Source organism: Homo sapiens, chromosome X (assembly GCF_000001405.40).
Source record: "Homo sapiens chromosome X, GRCh38.p14 Primary Assembly".
NCBI lineage: Eukaryota > Metazoa > Chordata > Mammalia > Primates > Hominidae > Homo > Homo sapiens.
This window is the reverse complement of record NC_000023.11, coordinates 37,899,936-37,921,969: the sequence shown is the minus strand read 5'-3', so window position 1 is coordinate 37,921,969 and position 22,034 is coordinate 37,899,936. Positions and strand designations below refer to the sequence as shown.

Genomic DNA, 22,034 nt, shown 5'->3' with positions numbered 1-22,034 from the left:
GAATCAAATCCTAAATTGGTAGCATTTCGTTGTCAGTGTGACTCACTCCTTTTCCGTCCAACTCATCCTTTCATTAACAAAAGAAACAAAGTCACTCTGATCATCTAGACTTCTTGAGTATCCAATTTTTTCACTATTATTGTTCCCTCTTATATTTACAGACCTGTTTATTTAATCCAATGAGGTGGAGGCAAAGAGCTTTACACTGTGCTTTGTTGTAAGGAAGCATAGATGGCTAGAGAAACAGGGAAATATTGTGGTATAGAAATAGTAGTTAATACTTATTTAGTATTTACTAAGTGCCAGATAAAAGAGGTAAAGTAACATACCCATATTATAACTGGTAAGTGGCAATAGCAGAATTCCAACCACTGTACTTTACTTAGTGTGAATTCACATCCTGAATCTGCATTTACTTATAGACCAGATTTGATCTTAATGATGTGAATAATTCTGAAGTACTGTATTTTGCAGCCTTGAGGGAATATCATATACTAAATTCCTAATCATTTGTTTCTTCCACCAAGAGGATGTTGTGGGATTCTTGGTAGCACAATGAGAATAACAGAAGAGGTTCCCGGATCTGTAATTTCTTCCGTTTACTTAAACTTTCTGACCCAAGAAACTCTGAGGTTTCAAGGATCATCTAATGGAATACCTGGGCATCAGGAAAGACAGTTTCATATAGGAGTTAACAGCACAGACCTGGGAGCCGTAATGTCTTGGTTTGAATCTTGGCTCCTCCAGTTAATAGCTTGAGATAATACGTTACTTAACTTCTCCATGACAGTTTCCATATCTCCAAATTGGAATAATAATGGCACTTACTCTTAGGGTTGTTGTGGCGATTAAACAATAGAATCAGTCAAGCGAGTAGATCAAGGGCCACACTGCTTTGGCACCTCATGCACAGAAAGCACAAGGAGAAAATTGAGATGAAAGACCAATACAGAGCCCTTTCCTCTCTATTACTGGAGGGAAGCAGTAAAATAATCATGTGACCTTTGTAAGAAAGGGATCATGTGACCCTTTTAAGAATAAGAATGAAGTCAGTAGTCAGGTGGGCCTGTGAAGGAAGCTCCAGGTAAATGCAAGGAATTTTGCTCCTTAAACATTGTGGTTTTTGTGCTAGATGTTCTAGGCATCATATTCCATCAACTGAGTATTTATTGTATCCATATGGCACTGATGTAGGGAATGGGGATACACAGAATTGCAAATCGGTCTATCCTCCAGAAACTAACATTTTAGCTATGAGTAGACATATTGGGGGCACAGAAGGGCTAGCCTAGATGCTAGATATAAACATGGTAGAAGTTCAGAGAAGAGAATGGTGGGCAAAGGCTGAGCAAACCACAAGAATTCTGGATTTATGGCTAAGTTTTATCTTGATCTCATCCAGGCAGATCATAGATGCCAAGAGAGAGCCAGGGAGGTCCTCTAGGCATGGCAAAGGGTACAGAAAAAATATAGAAATGTATATGATATCACTAGAGTCCAGTAGTTCTACCAATTGGCTGGAGGAGACGATTCTACAGGGAGAGGAGTAGTGGGAGCTGCAGTGAGAGGTGTAGGAGGAAAAGCTACCTCCACAGATTTGACTCCATCTGTGGAGGTAGATTTTCCATGGCCTGAAGTCTTGATGCCAGTTTGGCACCTTGGTGAGCAGAAGTTTCAGACCTCGTCCCAAATATTTTTGGTAAAATACAAGGTAAACTACTTCAGGAAATAACAATAATAATGAGTGGTTATCACAAATTCCCTGTGAGCTGAATGGACTATTATTTCTTATTCAGATTTTTTCATTGATTACAAAGGATATTAAACCTACTGATTGAATGCGCAAATCCACATGGGCCAAATAGCATCCTGGCAACATCAGAATATCTTTTGATCCTCCCAGTAAATGCTCTGGTCATGTTCCACTGTTGGGAATGTTCACAGACCATATGCTCTTCAGAAGCATATATATATTCCAGTGGATTTTCTCCTACTTTTACTGGTAACCAGTCAAGGATTCAGATATTATCTATACAGATACGAGGTATACTTAATTTCTCACCCAGATTAATTTAAAAGCACCCCTTAAAATACTGCCCAAATGTAATTCTTTTCCGTGCTTTTAGTGTCAACAACAGCATGGCTTTGCCTATTAAGTTAAAACACAAAAAGGTTACAAAAATGTTTCAGCAAATATTTAGCTAGAACAAGGTCTTCAGAAGAAAAATAGAGGAGAACAAATAAAGGTTTCATGTGGCCAATATTACAAGTGGCACTTTACAAATAAATACATCTATATCCAAAGCCTTTTCGTTTTGTGGAAATGTCTTCTATCAATCAGTTAATGACATGTGTCCCAGACCAGACACTGCAGACAACCATTCTAGCTTGTGGTGGGAGTAGGGTTAAAGAGCAAGGGTGAGTTTACAATGTATCAGCCTAATATGATCACCTTTTAGGTATTTAGGATACTTAGATCAAAGGGAATTGGCATATGAATATGGGGCAGACAGAGATTTCTTTCTTCCTTTATATTCTCCCTATATAAGAATATACAATATACTTCTCTAAGTGTTTTTACTATAACCTTTTACTCAGCTTTAGAGAACGTGAAATGAGGTCAAACTCCTTGTTTATAGTGTCCAACGTAATTAGAATAAAGTGTTGTTTCACCTGGCTACTCACTTTGCCAAATGCCAAGGGAGGAAAAACAAGGAGTACCCCTAGTCATTAATATCAGAATGAAACTGCTTTTCTAGAGCTAAAACTGCCATGTCAAGTTCTGTGTAGAGTAGTCAAAGGGTCCAGGGGTCCTCCCCTCGGGATTCTAAGTCCTGTCAACACCTTGACCATCTCTATGCAGAGATAGAAGAAACTCAGGGGATCGGGAAGTTGAGTTCTTTTGTCTATGCCTCCATGGCTGATACTGGAGAATGACTCACACTTTCTCCAAACCCCTTCTAGCAGGCCTTCTTGTACTGCAGATGCTAGAAAGCTAAACACACACACACACACACACACACTCACTCACACTTTCCAGACTCCCTTGCAGCTAGAGTTCTAATTGTGGTTTATAATCTAGTAGTCAGATGCATCCACGGGATGACTGGAATGAGAATGTGAACTTTGTGCTGGATGTCAGTGATTCTTTCAAGCAGTGAGTTCAAGGCATTCAGTTCATTTGGAGAGCACTGGTGAAGGTTCTAATAGCTATTCTCCAGAATGACAGATGCTGAGCACCATGAGGCAGCAGGGGCAAAGTGTTTGCTAGAAACATCCTGCAGTGTGATTACTGGTACTTCTGGCCATGTAGCATCCAAACCACGTTCTCTGCCTCTCCCAGAAATTCCTTGAAGTACCATCCTCAGTTATTTGTTGCCATAAAATGATGCACAACAGCCCTATAATTTCAGTGACATACAAAAATAAGCATTTAGTTATCCCATAAATCTACAGAGTTCAGATGGCCTGGCCTTGGCTGATTTTGGCTGGGTTTGCTAATATATCTATAGTCAGCTGCAATTCAGCTTGCCTAAATGCCTGGAGATCAAGTGGCTGTTAGACAATCCAAGATAGCTTCAGCTTGGGTAACTTTCATGACTTGGCTCTGTACCACATGTCTCTCATCCTCCAGCAGGCTAGCTTTGGCTCTTGTCATCTTCCTGAAGTTGACAGAGGAACAAAAACAGAAGTAGAAGTGTGCACATGCTTTTTCAAGCCTCTATGTGCTTCATATCCACTAACATCTCCTTCACCAAAGCAAGTCACATAGTCAACCTCAGAATCAAGGGACATATAGATATTATCCTTAGTGAGAGAAACTACAAAGTCACATGTCCAAAAGACAAGATTAGGGATGGAGACAATTGGGGCCATAAAAATCATACCACCTAATACCTTCAAATAAACTCTTCTGCTTAAACTGGGCAGAGGGGATTTACTTGTTTTCAACTAAAAAACTTAAGTAATATACCCACACTGCTTGATCATCAGGGGTTGAAACTCACAATAGTGGGAAAACTACACCAGAAAAAAATCTTGGAAAAGTGAATTGTTTGCCAAGCAAATGTAGTAACTGAATTAAGAATTCTATGATTAACCTCATAATCTTTGGTTTGCTCCTGCCCTCCCCTTTCTTATTTCCTTTTGTTGCCCTGCTGTCCCTTTCCTGGCCTTTTTCCTTAGAGTATAAAGAAGCAGAATGATAGCTATTTGCTAATAAATGCATTGAAAACGTCTGAAAAAAACATCAGTAACAGTTAACAGGAGTTGCCGCTGAAGAGGGATATAAAAACATGAAAAGGTGGAAAGCAATTTTCACTGTGTGCTCTTTTATGTTTGAATTTTTTAATGTTACTGAATTATTCTTTTGGTGAAAAATTAGACAAAAAATTAGATAAGGAAATGGAAAGAGATAGATGAATAGACCAATAGTGAAACAAATTCTGTATGTAGCTATTGGTTTTACTCTTTTCTGTGCTTAGGAACTATAGGGCTAGCCATAGTTTGTGACAGAAATTCATGCCACTGGCCAAAAATAAGATTGGAGCTGTTTAGCTAAAAATTCATTACCATGAATCCATACAAATACAAATAAATTATTGAATAAATAAACACATAAATGAAGGAAGGAAGAGACAAATCTTAAAGGGCAGAAAAATTCTAAATAATTTTTGTAAATACCTTCAAGGAGGTGGAACATAATTCCTGATTCCTTAAATATGGGCATGCAGTATGGAAAGGGAGAAAAAAATGTGACTTTATGGTGGAGAAATCTGACAGTCACTACTTCAGCCAGGTGATCAAGGTCAACATCAACAATGATAAGTTATGTTGATAGTATATACCCTTTATATGATGTTATGAGAATGGCACTCCTCCCAAAAATACAGAACCCCAGTCTAATCAGTAAAAAATATCAGACAAATCCCAGTTATGGACTTTCTACGAAATGTCCAACCAGTACTCTTTAAAACTGACAAGATCATCATAAACAAAGAAAATCTGAAAAAATGTTACAGCCAAAAGGAGCCTAAGGAGACATGAAGACTGCGTGGGATCCTGGAACAGAATAAGGACATTAGGTAAAAATTCCGAAAATCTGAATAAAACATGAGCCTTAGTTAATGATGATGTATCAATATTGCTTCATCAGCTGTAGCAAATGTGCCATACTGATGTAAGATTTTAATAGGGTAAACTGGATATAGGTATACGTAACTCTCTACTATCTTCAAAATTTTTCTGCAAACCAAAACTGTTCTAAAAATAAAGTTTATTAAAAATCCATTACTAATTCTGAAAAAATAATTAAAATCAATCAGTCATTCAACCAGTAGGTATTGTAGAAGATACAAGTAGCACTATCTAAACACCTAATCAGACTCATACAAACAGAAACTTCAAACTTGGAGCCAGGTGTTTGTGTAGCTCAGAAAACAGCCATCACAAGATCTATATAGCTCAGTAGTGAGCCCATTTGAAAGCAGCTATGGTATGAATAAATAACTATACCTGATCTGCATAATAAGTGTACAGTACTAGCTTTCCTGTATGCTTAAGCAGTCTTTTAATTTATGGAGAAGTCAGGAAAATGCTTCTTTTTCCTTATGTATTAAGATTGTGCTATCCCTGAAAGTAAGTGTTTTAGTGGAAGGTTAGGAGGGGTGCGTGGGCTCCGCTCATTACAGCTCACTGCAGTGTAAAGGTCTTAAATGAAACAAGACTCAGCTTGCCAAAGCCCACCTTATGCTGTTGTGTGGGAGCCATTAGGGAGTTATTCTAAAGTGGGCAACTCTTAGTGGAGAAGGAAGACTGATGAATCCAAGAGCAAGATCAGATCCTTTGAGAAGGAGGCAGGAGTTCCTAACGGAAGTATGGAGACTTGTCTGCAGAAAATTGAAAAGTAAAGTCCTCTTATGGCACACAGTAGAGTAGGTGCTCAATAAATGGTAGCTATTATTATTATTTAAAAAAAAAGATCTGTGAGGTAAGAATGGAAACTGAGACGGCTCTCCTACCCTCCATGAAAGGTTAGAGGTAACTGCTTTCTCTGTAGGCTGTGGGTTAGGTAATATTTGGTATTCAGTTTAAAATTATTTCCCACATCTGTTGTAGTTTCCTTTGCTTTGCTTAGAGCAAGTTTCTCAATCTGGGGTCCACGAACCCCCAAGAATATATCAGTAGAATTTAAAGAGTCCATGAACTTGGATGGGAAAAAAAAATGACATCCTTATGTTCACTAATCTTTATCTGACATTTAATATTTCCTGCAAGTATGAATGTAAGCAACAAACCACAGTAGTATTAGCAGTACCCGTGACTGTCACTAAAGAAACAGATATTTTTCATATCATATTACAGTTATTGTAGATATCATGTAATATGTTTCAAAATCATTACTACTTTAAAATTTAGGTCATTAGATCCACCGTTAGATCTTGTTGCTTAATAACTTAATTAAAAAGTACATAGAGTACTATACCACACAATTGCTTTTAATTTCTGATAACCGTATTTCAATACAATTTGCTTCCTTTGTAATCCAGTGAGTTTGAGTTTATGTATTTAAGCCACCATTCTGATAAGGAGGTCACCGACTTCATCAAAGGTTCCAGGGCACAAATGATTTAAAGATTACAAATCCTGGCCCAAAATTCAAAAATCTGGTACAGTTTTACTGCTTTGTTTGGTGGCATTGTTAAGGAAAGCAAGGAGTAGGTTTGGAAGTATAAAGAAAAAGGTCATGTCAACTGCCTCCCTACTCACTACCATTTTACCCAACACACGCCTGTGCACGTGCATGCGCGCGCACACACACACACGAAACAAGGAGGAACGTAGCCCCTGTGTGCTGTGCTGAGACAGCAGTAAAATAAGAGGTGGATTGTGCACAGCAAAGAGCAATGGGCAGCTTCAGGACATATAGAAGAATCACAGGCAAATGGACACAGGCGCAGAGAGGACACAACAAACTGTGTTTTTCTAAATATACTAGAGGATGTGACCCTGAAGGGCCGTAAGAAAAACGGAATCTTGTACCCTGCCATTCTAGTTGATTACAATATACTTAACAACACAAAAGAAAAAAACACATTACATGATGAGAAACATTGACTCTGAGAGCCATTAGTTTAGAGTGAGGGCTAGAGGAGGCTTTTCACTGAGGCTGTCCTTTGTTAGTACAGCATCTTTGTTGGTGATGGTTTCATTTCTTTAAATTATTACATAAAATCTGATGTATATAAAAGAATCTGTATCAATTTAAATAAGTTATAAAGAGTAATACTAAATGAGCCTTTATGAACCCATCACCGCATTCAAGACCCAGAACATCATCAATGTTCGTACCTCTACTATCTGCTCCTACCTTATCCCATCTCTGTCTCCCCAGTACTATTCTGAATTTTGGGTTCACCTTGTTTTAGGATCTATCATGTGTGTATGATTCCTAAGAATGTGTTGTGTAGTATTGCTTTTTTTTGGGCTTTATAAAAATGATACCCAACTGCATGAAGTTTTTGGTGATTTTGTTAATAATATGCATCTGTGTTCTTGCATAGAGAAATGGTTAATTCATTTTTACTCTGTTGAAATAATAATTAATACCAAATTTATTTATCATTTTTCCATCAATGGACAATTAGATTATTTCAGAATTTTTGTATTATGAACCATGTTGCTATGGCCATTCCTAAGGAGAGTTCCTGCTTCACATGTAGGAGTATTTGTCTAGGTGATATACCTAGAAATAAAGTTGCTAGGTCATAGGGTATGCAAAATGTTCAACTTCACAAGACAGTACTAAATTTTCTTTTCCAGAATGGTACCAATTTGTACTCCTATCAATAAAGTATGAGTTCCTATTGATCCACATTCATACAATAGTTGGAATTATCAGATCTCATGATGTATTTTCATCTTTGTACACCAAAGATAGTATTTTGCCTCATCATAGAAGGGACATAAAAATGTCAGCAAGTGCTAAAAAGTTTTGTCAGCATAGCTTACTTCAAGGTTACACAGAAGGTTATACAGAGGCTGAAACAAGAGTTTCAATGTAGGTAGTTTGTTTGGGGAAGTGATACTAGGGAATAGAAGTAGGAAATTCAGGAAAGGAAAAGAAGAGAGAAAACCAATACGGGAGTGTATTTTTGAGTTGGTCACAACTGTAAACAACTAGGGCGTAATCCTACTTAGTTAGACCCTCTGAGAATCTCTTGGAAACAAACACTATTAAAAGGCAATTGAGAATTATCAGGCCAAGGATGGAGGAGGGACTATTTATCTTAGGTTCCCATCTCACATTGGTCAAGGGTTGGCTCTTGGGCCTTTAACTCCCTCACATTCCATAACACACATGTGTGGGTACAAGAGTGTTCCAACAGGCCTTCCTGTTGAAACATCAAAGAAGTCCTGGAGTGAGAAGTGAGATATTTGCTGTGAGGCTAAGGCAAGGCACTCTCTGGTTTTACCCACATAAAGCTGGTTAATGGACTAACGGCTTAATTAAATGGTAGGCTATAAGGCTGTGCAGTGAGGCACAAAAGATGTCCAATAGACATAGCTAGTAAGTGGCAGAGATGAAACTCAAACACATGTATCTATCACAGATCAAATATTAGGTACTTGGTATATAGCATGAAAACACTGTCCACTGCCTACCAATAGCCAACTCTACCTTTCATCTCTGCTGACAGAATGCCAATTGGTTTCAATAGCAGACAAAGATCTCTGTGGTAGAGCTGGCACAGTAGCTCCATGGTGCCACCACAGGCCCAGATTTCTTCTACCTTTCTGTTCCAGCATCTTTAATGCTAGCTTACATCCAGTCAGTCACTCCATGGTCCAAGATGGCTCCAGGCATCATGCCTGCATTCAAGACTAACAGCAGGAGGAAGAAGGGGGAGGTACAAAAGGGCCCTCCTCCCAGCCAAGTCAAATCCCTTTAAGCAGGCTTCCTAGAAGTACCACACAACACAATTACCTCTCACTGGTGGAACTCAGTCATAGGTTCACACCTTGATACAAGGGATGCCAGGAAATAGAAACTATTTGCTAGATACATCATTACCAGTAATAAAACTGGTATTCTGCCACTAAGGGAGAAGGTGGGAATAGATATTGCATGGCAACTCAAAGTCCCTGCCACAATAGTCATTTGATTTAGAGCAGGTTTTTAATATACATATATCAGTCTTCTTATTTGTAAAATGGAAATTAACATGACTACCTCACAAAGTTGTTATGAGGAAAAATAAGATAATATAAATAAAATTGCACAGTGGCTGGTATGCAGAAAATACTTAATAAATGCTAGCTGGTATTAATTCACTTCGATGAGTCATCAGCATCAGGGCCTAGCTTTGAGCCAACCCCCAGATAACTGATCTTTATCAGTGTCCCTGTATTTATTAGGTTTGAGGGTGTTGGGTGCTGACTCACACCCACAACACTCATAAGTGTTTAAAGCTAGAGTGGCGGCTTAGTAATTTACAATGGGAGATATAACTGTCAGGGAGACCAGACACTCTGACCAGGTTATTCTCACCCTGAAGGCAATGAACATGTGGCATCCTAAGGCTGACTGCTGAGCATGAAGTCAGGAGAAACAGAATTAATTATACAGTTCAGATCTTTAACGGCATTGGGCTTGTTGTATCCATCTCCACAATTGGGCTTCTGTTATCTGGTGGTCAGAAGCTCAGGCTAGAAACATGACAGGTAACCTCTTCCCATTGACAGTGCTGGGAGGTGCATTACTGGAAAAATTCACCAAGAATGTGGAACATGTGGGAAAGCTATGAGGGTAAACTCAAAACAGTTATGGCATAGTAAATCTATTCTTAATAGAAGCCCTATACATCTGGCATAACTTTGGAAAAGTTGTAAGGGAAATACTTTAGCAAGACCCATTCTTTAGATAATAGGCCCAGAGTAAATGGGGCAGCTAGAAACCTGATTACATCTTTGTTTAAAATACTTATTGGATTACAAGTTGAATACCTTTTTAAGTTTAAAATAGAAATATTTTCACTGTTTCATATGGAGATATAAATAGAGCTTTAAGAACAATTTAAAATAACATAAAATGCTTTAAATTAAGCAAATAGAAAATCATAACCTGTGTGTATACAATATACATGTACGTATATGTATGTGTGTGTATATATATCACCTATATATAGCACATATATATATATCAAATTTTCTAATAACAGTAACAAAATGTGAATTTTACCGATTTAATTCTATGAAGTCAGGTAAAATATTTTCTTCATATCCAATAATTTTGGGGAGGGGATACTCTTTGATGTAGCTCACTGTTGGTCTCGTGTAGAAACAATTGTGTGATTAAATTAGAAATAATTTAAAATTAATGTTTTAGGGGGGAAATTTGCAATGCCCCATGAAATCTCTAGAATGGTTAATCCTTTAAAAATCGCATATGAGAAGTATGCAACCAATCTCATAAAATCAGCTTTGAGCTTCTAGAAGAGCAAGCTGCAAAATAGCTCTATGATTGGAGAACAAACATGAATAGAGACTAATGGGCTGATGTGTAGCCTCTGTATTTATTCACTTCTATTTGTATGAGATTAAAAGAAATCCCAATACAGCATTTTCTCCCACTTTCTCATCCTTCGTCCTATTAACAGAAAAAGTAATTATGCTTGGCAAAAAGAAAAATGTAATGCTGGCCGGGCACAGTAGCTCACACCTGTAATCCCAGCACTTTGGGAGGCCGAGGCAGGCAGATCACTCGAGGTCAGGAGTTCAAGACCAGCCTGGCCAACATACTGAAACCTCGTCTCTCCTAAAAATATTTTTTAAAAAATTAGCTGGGTATGGTGGCAGACACCTGTAATCCCAGCTACTCGGAAGGCTGAGGCAGGAGAATCACTTGAACCTGGGAGGCAGAGGTTGTAGTGAGCTGAGATGGCGCCGCTGCACTCTATCCCGGGCAACAGAGTGAGACTCTGTCCAAAAAAAAAAAAAAAAAGTAATGCTATCAGCAATTAGAATTACAAACTTCACATACAATGATGTATGTAATGACCCTGACTCATCCAATACCATAAAGTCTCAAAATGTCAGAGATACATGGTTTGCAATGTATCATCCCTACACCAGCAGCATCAACATCATCCAGGAACTTGTTAGAAAGGCAAATTCTTGGGCTCTACCCCGACACCTATGGAATCAGAAATTCTGGGGCTGGATCATAACAATCTGCTTTTAACAATTTCTCCAGGTGATTCCGATGTCCATTAAAGTTTGAGAACCACTCATCTAGACAGAACCATGCTACTTCAAGTATGATCTGTAAACTGGTAACATTGAAATCACTAGGGGCTTGTTAGAACTGCAGAATCTCAGACCCCACCTAGACTTATTGGATTAGAATCTAAATTTTAATAAGGCCTCCAGGTGACTGGTGCGCACATTAAAGTTTGAGAAATGTTGTACTTGTCCAATGGTTTCTTTCATGGGCTGAATTGTGTCTCCCCCAAATTCACATGTTGAAGTCCCAGCCTTCAGGGGCTCTAAATATAACTATTTGGAGATAAGGCCTTTGATGAGGTAATCAAGTTAAAATTAGCTCTTTAGACTAGGCCCTGACACAATATATGACCAGCATCCTTATAAGAAGAGATTAGGACACAGACATTCACAGAGAAAAGACTGTAGTAAAGATACAGGGGGAAGATGGTCAGGTGCAAGTGAAGGAGAGAGGCCTCAGGATCAACCAACCCTTGATCTTGGACTTCCTGCCTCCAGAACTGTGAGAAGAAACATTTCTGTTGCTTAAATCACCCAGTCTGTGGTCCTTTGAATGGCAGCCCTAGCAAACTAATATAGTTTCCAAACTCAGGCACATGTTGGAGTCATCTAGGGAGTTTTTAAAATATTGATACCTGGGTTCCATTCCCAGAGGTTCCAATTTAAGTGGTCTGAGGATCAGCTCATAAATCTTGATTTTAAAAACCTCTCCAGCCAGGCATGATGAATCAGGCTTGTAATCCCAGCACTTTGGGAGGCTGAGGCGGGTGGATTACCTGAGGTCAGGAATTGGAGACCAGCCTGGCTAACATGGTGAAACCCCGTCTCTACTAAAAATACAAAAATCAGCCGCGTGTGGTGGCAGGTGCCTGTAATCCCAGCTACTTGGGAGGCTGGGGCAGGAGAATCGCTTGAACCTGGGAGGCAGAGGTTGCAGTGAGCTGAGATCACGCCATTGCACTCCAGCCTGGGCAACAACAGTGAGACTCCATCTCAAAAAAAAAAATAAAAACAGAAAACAAACAAACAAAAAAACCTCCCCAGGTAATTTTTAATGTGCAACAAAGTTTGAATACCACTGCTAATCTACTCCAGGGGTGTCCAGTCTTTTGGATTACCTGGGCCACACTGGAAGAAGAATTGTCTTGGGCCACACATAAAATACACTAACACTAATGATAGCTGATGAGCTAAAAAAAAAAAATTGAAAAAAAATCTCATAATGTTTTAAGAAAGTTTACAAATTTGTGTTGAGCCACATTCAAAGCTGTCATGGGCTGCATGTGGCCTGCAAGCCACAGGTTGGACAAGCTTGATCTACTCCATTCTTTTCATTGATGAGAAATCTAAGACAATTGTAATCATTAAATTTCAATCTCTCGATACTTGCTTATCTGATCTCCCACCATGATGTCCAAAAACTACCTTCTGTAAGTATTTGAGAGAATATTCTACTGGAAAAGAGAAAGTTAAATCAAAGCGGGCAATAATATACACTCTTTTCATGCTTCAACTTTTTAAGTTTTAGTGTGTGTGTGTGTGCTAGGGACCATTTTGAACTGTGTGTGGGGGAGGGGGGCAGTAGTACATCTTCCCCAGTACAGGTATAGAGAAGGTCCCCAAAGATAATCTGTTGAACCAAGTTGTCAGTGCCACTACCTCTCCCTAGGTTCTTCTTTTCCCTCTTGTTAAGTTTCCCTCCAGGCTCCTAGGATCCAAATTAAAGACATTCAGATGCTGTAAACCAGCCTTCCAAGGCATTGGCAGCAAACCACTCATCAGTTTTTTTTCCTCACTAAATCCTTTCCCATGTCCCTGTGAAGTTTTGAAGCTCCCAAACTCAACACTCCACTCAAAGGACAACTATTTACTGAATATTTACTCTTTTCCAGGAACTTGAGGGTTTGATCCATACTTAATAGAAACCCTATGAGATTACACACACACACACACAGGCAAGGTGCAGTCTCTAAAAGTTAGCACACTCCATAAAAGTGATTTGGCACCCTTAAAATACCATATACCCATGTGGAGAGGGGAAATCTGCTCTAAATGTGTGCTTTTGCTACATTGATTAATATTTAGTATTTTACTTGGCCAGAACATTGATACGATCACAGGTTCAAAAAGACTTATTTTCTTGACAGTCTAGAAGACTTTCTGGTCAGTTCCCCAAATACATCACCTACCTGCCTCTCCCTGGCTGCCTTTCCACTATAGAAGCTGAAAAAACGGATACTTTCCCAGTCTCCTTTGCCACTAAGGGCAGCTATGTGCCCCAGATATTGCCAATGAGATAAAAGTAGGATTCTGTTAGATAAATTTGGGGAAGGATATTTTTTCTCTGATGAGAAAGTTGCATGAGGAAAAATACTCTGACCTTTTCCACCCCGTTTCCTGTCATTGAACATGGGATTAGGACCGAGTGTCTTGAGCTGTTAGAGCCATCTTGAAGCCATGAGGGTAAGACACTGACTCAGAACCCTGATATTGTTGGGTCACTGTATCAACTCCAGTTATTACCTACTGTCAGCCTTCTCTATTTTCTTTGTTTTTTTTTTTTTTCTTTAGAGACAGGGTCTTACCCTGTCACCCAAACTAGAATGTAGTGGTGCAATCATAGCTCACTGCAGCTTTAAAATCCTGGGCTCAAGGGATCCTCCCACCTCAGCCTCCTGTGTAGCTGGGACCACAGGCACATGCTACTGCGCCCAGCTAAACTTCTGTAGTATTACAAGCCATGTTTAGTTGGCTTTTCTGTTACTTTCAGCAAAAAAATAAAAAATAAAAAATAAAAAATTAAATATTAAAGTTCACAACAATATATAGATTTTTTCAAATATAGAAAACTCTCATTTATTTAGAACACAGTGTATTCTGAGGATCCACACTTTGAGTACCATTGAATTAAATGACTTATCTTTTAGGAGTGAAGAGAAAGAATGCACAGGTGGATTTCAAGGAATGGTAAACCTAATCTGGACTGCCAAATTATTTTATTCATTCATTTTTTTTCAACAGACCTTACTTTACTAGGCTCCAGGGATACAAAGATTAATAAGGCATTACCCTTGCTTCCAAATAAATTTTATTACTCTAAGCAAGATGGATATGTAAACCTAGAATCATAAGGTGGTAAGAGCTAAGATAGAGGTATGTAGAGTAGAGGAGTTATGTTATCAGAGAAGTGGGAAGCTTAACGGCTCCCCGGGGACGACATTGGAAGAGGATCATGGAAGCTTCCACTCAACTCTAAAAAATTATTCCTGTGATCTGACTAAACATGTAAGGTTTTATTAATTTTATTTCAAGGAGGGTTCTTTTCTATAATTATAGGTTATAAAACAAATGACAATTCAAGAAAGATCGGGGACTAATCAACTGCCAGAAAAGATACCCCATCCATTTTTCTCTCCCACAAAGCAAGACAAAAACATGGTTTTGTGTGTGCATTTTGGGGTGGGGGTGGCAGGCATATCAGCAGGGTTGTTTTCTGGAATAGAATACTTCTGTGTTGTGAATTAAGACCACTTGTTAACATTGCATCAAACCAAACAATTTGATGGTAAAGCAATCAGTTATCAATATGAACCACAAATTCATGCATTCTGGGAGATGCTCTCCTCTGCTCCTTTTAAGCAAAAATAACAATAATTAGTATTTACTTAATAGTCACAGAAACATTTTGCATTTAATGATAGAGAAAGGGGAAACATCTCCCCGCCACCACCACCAAAATGATTTTTCTAAAAGAGGTTAACAGAAGGAGGTCCCTAACCTTAGAGGAGAAACTAACACGTAGTTTTGCACTGTTAAATCCTTATAAGAAACAGAATAGGTCCTCACTGGTTGTCTTGCAAGGGAATAATAGGCTTTGGAGCATATCTGAAAATAGAGAAAATAAAACCAGCAATAGTCTTCTAAAATTTTCCTGGAATACGATACTTTGAAAATAAAACATTCAATAGTGTCCTTCAATGAATTGTTTCAACATTCTGGCATTCACATTAATTGTGCCTCCGGAACATTTCGATTCAGTCAGTGATAACGAGATAGATATGCAACAACTGCAGTTACCTTAAGCGCTGGCATGTCCTGGGCTGGAGAGGGTTGTTCCAAGATCCCAACTCAGGCTACAGTAAAACATCTGCTACCTCGCAGAGAATGAAGAAGCCACTCTGGCAAAGGATCCCAGCTAAGCCCTCTGGCTCTCCTGTCCCCACCTCTAAGAATTACACCGGAGGAAAATGGGGGAGAGGAGGGAAATACACGAAACAAATAAAACATTCCTAGCTCCATAAACGCCGCATTCGGACATGTGAAGGTACCCGGTAAATTAAGAATATGGCCCCAGAGTTTTGTTTATCTGGGGTCTGAGCATAGATTTTATATTCTCTGTTGCGTTTTTTAAATCTAACTTTCTGTCTCCAATGGAGAGAGCCAGAGGGAGGAAGCAAAGGCAGACAGACACAGGCTGGAAGACCCCCTCCCCGCGAGTCCCCCAAACAGTAAGCATCAGAAGACGAGAAACTTGCCTGGCCCTCACCTAGACGGAGAGGCAGCTGGTCCAGCCTCAGGAGGGGGTCAGCCTGCTGGGATGAGTCACTGAAGCTGGAGCTGAAATGCAGACCCCAGGCGGGAGGCAAAGTCCCGCTCCTAACCCAGGGGAGCAGAGTGACTCACGCGCTTGGCGTCCGCCTCTCGGCGCTGTGCGCCCCTCTCCCTCCCCACCCCCAGCAAGTACCAGGACCTAGTGCCTCGAGAGACGCGGTCTCCAGGCGCCCCATCCACGGGGCTCACAGCCGGATGCCCCCAGGCGGCGGCGCCAGAGTCGCGCCAGGCACAGCCCGCCCCTCAAGGCAGCCGCCCGCTGCCAAGGGGTGAAAGCCTCCTTCGTGGATCTCCCTCTTCTCGGCTCCCCGCCACCCCAGGACCCCATGACCCCGGGCTGACCATTTGAGCTCAACACACCTTTCATATACTACCTGGACGCGGCTTTGCAAAGTCCCTCCTGCAGGCTGTGCCAAACGGGCTTCAGGATGCACAGCCAGCCCCAGGACTTAACAACCGGTCTGCAAAGACCCCACCCCCGCCATCCTTGGTCTCCACCTTGTGGTGGCTCCGGAAGCCTCTCAGCCCAGAAACAGGTGCAGCTGGCTCCTCAAGATCCCAGGTGTATCCTTTTCCATAGGTCTTTCCTTTCCTCGGACCCTACCTTGCAGGAACTGTCACCCCCCACGCCCCCCCCACACACACACACCATGGCCCATCTGACACATCCACCTGCAAGGTGGATATGGCTATGCCCAAACCTCCCACAGTTTGTACCTACACCAGGAGTACCCCTACTGCTCACCACAGCCAAGGCACAAGTTACTCCCATCTCATCTCCTAGGAGCCCCCTTCCTTGTGGAGGAGGCTGCAAGTCTCTCCTCTCTCATATCCCCCCTGGGTCTTGGAAAAGTACTGTGGGGAATGATGGGACCCTGGTGCCAGGGGTCACCTTCCTAATTTGACATGGAGTAAGAAAAGCCAAGGCTCCACCCAAACTGGTTTTGGTGGCAGTGCTTCGTTGGGACGGTCAAGATGTCCTGGGGTGCCAGGACTTAGAAGAGTTAATAGCTTCAGCAAACATGGCATGGGAATTCTGACTCATGACCTGGTGTGTTCTGGTAAAGGTCAACTTGTTCTGCTAGGAGGAGGGGTAGGGGTGATGAGCCCTCAGTCCTGCCTTCACCATATCAAAACTGGAAGGAAGAAAATGTATAAAAAGAGTTCCTTTAGCCCTGGCAAGGGTGAGGGATTATAGAGTTCAGAGAGAAAGAAACAAGAATAGGGAAGGGGTGGGCCATTTTCTCAACTTGAGGACAGCATTTCAGCTGTCAGACTTCTTACAACTCTGGTAAAGGATGGGGGTCCAATTTCAAAAAGTGGGCAATATCCCCTAACACTCGCCCTTTGTTGTCATCCCATTGCTTTCTTATACCATTATAAACTGAGATCTCCCCCATAATTGGATGCGTAGGGAATATAAGTTACTCATTTCAATGTACTAATAACCCAGCACATGGCCTAACACATAGTGGAAAATAAAGCTTTATTGAAAGCTCAGAAGTCTACTATCCAGGACCTTCCTCCCCCTGTCTCTGGCTCCCACCTCTACTTTCCATCTTTTTCCATTTCTTTACCTTTACTTTTCTTGCTTGTCTATACCTACTTCCCTGAATAATACCAGCCTTCAGTTTTTCTACCTCTATTTTCTAATTTTATAAGGCAGTGTTTCATTTCCAATTTTATTTGTTCTCTTTTTCTAAAGTCCCCCCCACTCTGCATTCTCTCCCAATGCCCTATTTTCAAGTTTAATTTTAATGAAGTGCCTTTCCTCGAACCCTACCTTGCAGGAAATATCACCCCCCCCCCCGGACCACCCCACACACACCTCTTTTTTGTTTGTTTTAAGATTGGATCAAAATTCTTACCTATCAAAAATCTTACATTCCCCAGAGAGTGAGTGTGTGTGTGTGTGCGTGTGTGCCTCCAAGACAATGTGTCTTCTTGCGCAAAGCAATCAGCCATATATTACCAGAGCCATATCTTCATTAATTCATTCAACTCACATTTACTGTGCACCTAATGCATACTAGACATTGTGTTAGGTCCTAGGTTTATAGAAATGGATAAGGTAATGTGACTACCATCAAGAATGCCACAGACTGAGGGGTGGGGGAAGGGGAAGAGCAGATAATAAAGCAAAGTTACATAACAATGCTGTAAGAGAAATGTGTACAAAGGTGCTGTGGGAATAAGAAGGAAGCTCACAGTACTTCATGGAGGAGGCAGGAGGTGGTCAGGAAACATTTTACCAGAAGACGGCAATTGAACTGAGTCTTGAAAAACAATTAGGAGTTTTCCAGGAAGACAAGAAGGGAGAAATATATACAAGATGAGTAATTTACTTTGAATTTTATTATTTTTATTTATTTTTTATTATACTTTAAGTTTTAGGGTACATGTGCACAACGTGCAGGTTTGTTACATATGTATACATGTGCCATGTTGGTGTGCTGCACCCATTAACTCGTCATTTAACATTAGGTATATCTCCTAATGCTATCCCTCCCCCCTCCCCCCACCCCACAACAGGCCCCAGTGTGTGATGTTCCCCTTCCTGTGTCCATGTGTTCTCATTGTTCAATTCCCACCTATGAGTGAGAACATGCAGTGTTTGGTTTTTTGCCCTTGCAATAGTTTGCTGAGAATGATGGTTTCCAGCTTCATCCATGTCCCTACAAAGGACATGAACTCATCATTTTTTATGGCTGCATAGTATTCCATGGTGTATATGTGCCACATTTTCTTAATCCAGTCTATCATTGTTGGACATTTGGGTTGGTTCCAAGTCTTTGCTATTGTGAATAGTGCCGCAATAAACATACATGTGCATGTGTCTTTATAGCAGCATGATTTATAATCCTTTGGGTATATACCCAGTAATGGGATGGCGGGGTCGAATGGTATTTCTAGTTCTAGATCCCTGAGGAATCGCCACACTGACTTCCACAATGGTTGAACTAGTTTCCAGTCCCACCAACAGTGTAAAAGTGTTCCTATTTCTCCACATCCTCTCCAGCACCTGTTGTTTCCTGACTTTTTAATGATTGCCATTCTAACTGATGTGAGATGGTGTATCATTGTGGTTTTGATTTGCATTTCTCTGATGGCCAGTGATGGTGAGCATTTTTTCGTGTGTTTTTTGGCTGCATAAATGAATTTTAATTTGAGTCTCCTTTCCCTTGTAATGGCATCATTATTAAGGCAGATGGTGTGTAACATTGTTCCAGAGTTAAAAGAGTTCTCTTTCCTGATAACTCCAGGGACAATTCTTGGTTCTACTTGGATCATGTGTCCATCCCTGAAACAATTACCATGGCCAGGTAGGTAGTATATTCTGATTGGCTGGCCTGGGTCATGTGCCCATTCCTGGGTTTTTGTTCTTTGTTTTGTTTTGTTTTATTTTGGCGGAGGGAGAGAAACATAAATATAAATACCTTTCAGTTCCTGCCAGGAAAGATGTGAACAAAAGTAGCATGTCAATTATATGTATACAAGCATTTCTGACATAAAATGACATACTCGGCTGAAAAATCTCTCATTTTTCAAAATCACACACTAAAACTAACAAGGCATAAGAGTTAAGGCAGATCACTCAAAACTTATGTACCTTTATAAGCAGAGCATTAACAATTTTTTTAAAATAATATATCAGGTGATGACTTGTGCACAGCTCAGACACACAGCTTGTTATGGCTAGAGGCCACCTCAGTAGATATTAAACATGCAAGAAACCAATAGAGAGGAAATTCTACTTGAGAGAGCTGAGACAATGCAGATGGAAGTGGAAGTCTAAGACAGAAAGGCTGCTATTAAGGTGCGCACAGGAAGAAGTACACTCTGCCTGAGGCAAGAATCATGCAAGGCTGAGGGTCTACTTCCTTGGAGAGGAAGCCCTGGGTGTAGAACCTCACTTTTAATTTTAAAACATAAATAAAGCTAAAAGGGCTTTTGACACTGCAGCAGCCAAATTGAGGGATTTTTCCTTTCATGCTGAAGGTTAAAATTCTACTTCAACCCAACGTCCACATGGTATTGACATTCTTCCCCTATTTCCTATTACATATATACTATTTGTTATAGATAATGTGTTATAGCAGAAGATATTGTGTATATTTGTTTATTACCTATCAAATATTTATCAGGCCCATGTAGTCTAATCTAGTCTCATGCTTTAAAATTCCAATTATTTGCTAATGACTCCCAAATTTATGCCTCTGGACTGGTTATTTCTCCTGAACTCCAGACACTTATCAAGCAACCTGTTGAGCAACCTGCTCAACATCCTCACCTGAATGGCAATAGGAATCTCAAACTTCCCTTACACAATACTCAACTCTTTCATTTGTTGCCTATTCTAGACATTTTACACAAATGGAATTATAAAATATGTGGGCCTTTGTGTGTGGCTTCTTTCACTGAGCATAATGTTTTCAAGGTCATCCATGTTGTAGCATGCATCAGAACTTCATTCCTTCTTATGATTGAATAATATGGGCCTACTTCTTAGAGAAGAACTTCAGTTTGGGAGTGTAGAGGAGAGACAGGAAGGATCTCTGAGAAAAGCTGCAGAGCGAAGGCTTAATGGAGGTTTTGTGTTTTCCGGTTAGATAGTTGTCCCTCATATGAATCCTGTGCTTGCCTTGCATCCTGTGAGAGCCTCAGGCCCAGCTGCAGGCTTGTCTGCTGGCAGGGTAGTGTCAGCAGTCCTGGCTTTTTGCTTAATGACAACGCTGCATCAATGCCTCTTCCTGCAATTGCTTCTACAACAGCTTCTATGAGGTAAGATCTTTGGGATGCCCGGATCACCTGAGGGAGATTCATGGCAGAGCACCTGGGGTCTGGTTCCATCTGCTCCCAAGGTAAGGTGAACTTGGATCTATGGGATAGTCCCAAGGGATCCCCTCAAAATCAGTGGTTAGACAATGGTGGAGTCATTCAGTCAACATGTGGTTTGTGATAGTCCTCTCTATTTATACAATAAATCTTTGTGAAGCACCCACTTTGGCACCAGGATGCTAAGCTGTGCTGAGGAGTCAGTCATCCTGTGGTCCTGCACTAAGTGCTCCTTCCAGTCTCAATACTTCTGTAATTCTCTTCTTTCAAAGGAACTTGCAAACCCTGATAGATCAAAAAGAGAAAAGTTACTTTCTTTGCCTCCCCTAACTGATGATCTCCTGGGGAAGATTACACAGAGTAGGGGCTCTGAAGCCCCCTCCACACACAAAAAAACAAAATCCCAGGAGTGGGCACATGACCCAGGCCAGCCAATAAGAATACACTACCTGCCTGGCCATGGTAATTGTTTCAGAGATGGACACATGATCCAAGCAGAACCAATCAGAATTATCCCTGGAGCTTTCAGGAAAGAGAATTCTTAACTCTGGAGCAAAGTTATACACCATCTGCCTTAAAAATGATGCCACTACATGTAAAAGGAGATGCAAATTAGAATTCAAAGTGAATTATTCATCTTCTATATATTTCTCCCTTCTTGTCTTCCTGGAAAACTCCTAGTTGTTTTTCAAGACTCAGTTTAATTGTCATCTTCTGGTGAAATGTTTCCTGACTGCCTCCTTCAAAAGTCATGTATTACTGAGGTCTTCTTTTACTACTTTATTTTGAATGGCAACTCTCCCACCTTATCCCTTATTCCTGCTTAATTTTTCCAATTGTCCTTATCACTATCTGACATACTAAATATCATATTCATTTATGTCTTTATTTTCTGTCTCCCATTTGTAGAATATAAACTATGAAAGTATGAATTCTGTTTTATTCAATGCTGTATCCCCAATGCCTAGAACACTATCTGGCCTGTGGTAGGCACTAAGGAAATATTTGAGTGCATATTTGCCTACTGTGCACCAGGCACTGTTCTAGGCATTATGAATGGGACAGTAAATAAAAGAGGTAAGCCCCTCCCTCACCATTGTGTGTGTGTGTGTGTGTGTGTGTCTTTGTGTGTGACCAATCCCCAAATATTAACTTATAGAAAGCAAGACTTGTTTCAGTTTCATTCAGCCTATTCTATACGGACAAGCACAACTCTTATGCTTAAGAGAACAAATACTGAATATGATATAATGAAGATTTGCTTACATATTTACCTATATTTGCAAATTATATAAATTCTCTCT

General features: G+C 40.3%; 1 protein-coding gene across 21 annotated transcripts in view; it reads right to left on the bottom strand.

Moving 5' to 3' along the window:
- SYTL5 (synaptotagmin like 5) overlaps positions 1-22,034 on the bottom strand; it is a 239,906-nt gene that overhangs the window by 206,851 nt on the left and 11,021 nt on the right. For 15 of the 21 annotated variants that reach the window (XM_011544001.3, XM_047442654.1, XM_047442663.1 and 12 more), the window contains exon 1: positions 15,830-15,959. The exons of 1 other annotated variant lie outside the window; for it this stretch is intronic. The gene's annotated coding sequence lies outside the window, so the exon portion shown is untranslated. Of the gene's footprint in view, positions 1-15,360; positions 15,960-22,034 lie in introns of those variants that run through there. 5 more of the 21 variants (XM_017029973.2, XM_047442659.1, XM_047442665.1 and 2 more) reach the window with 2 other exon arrangements.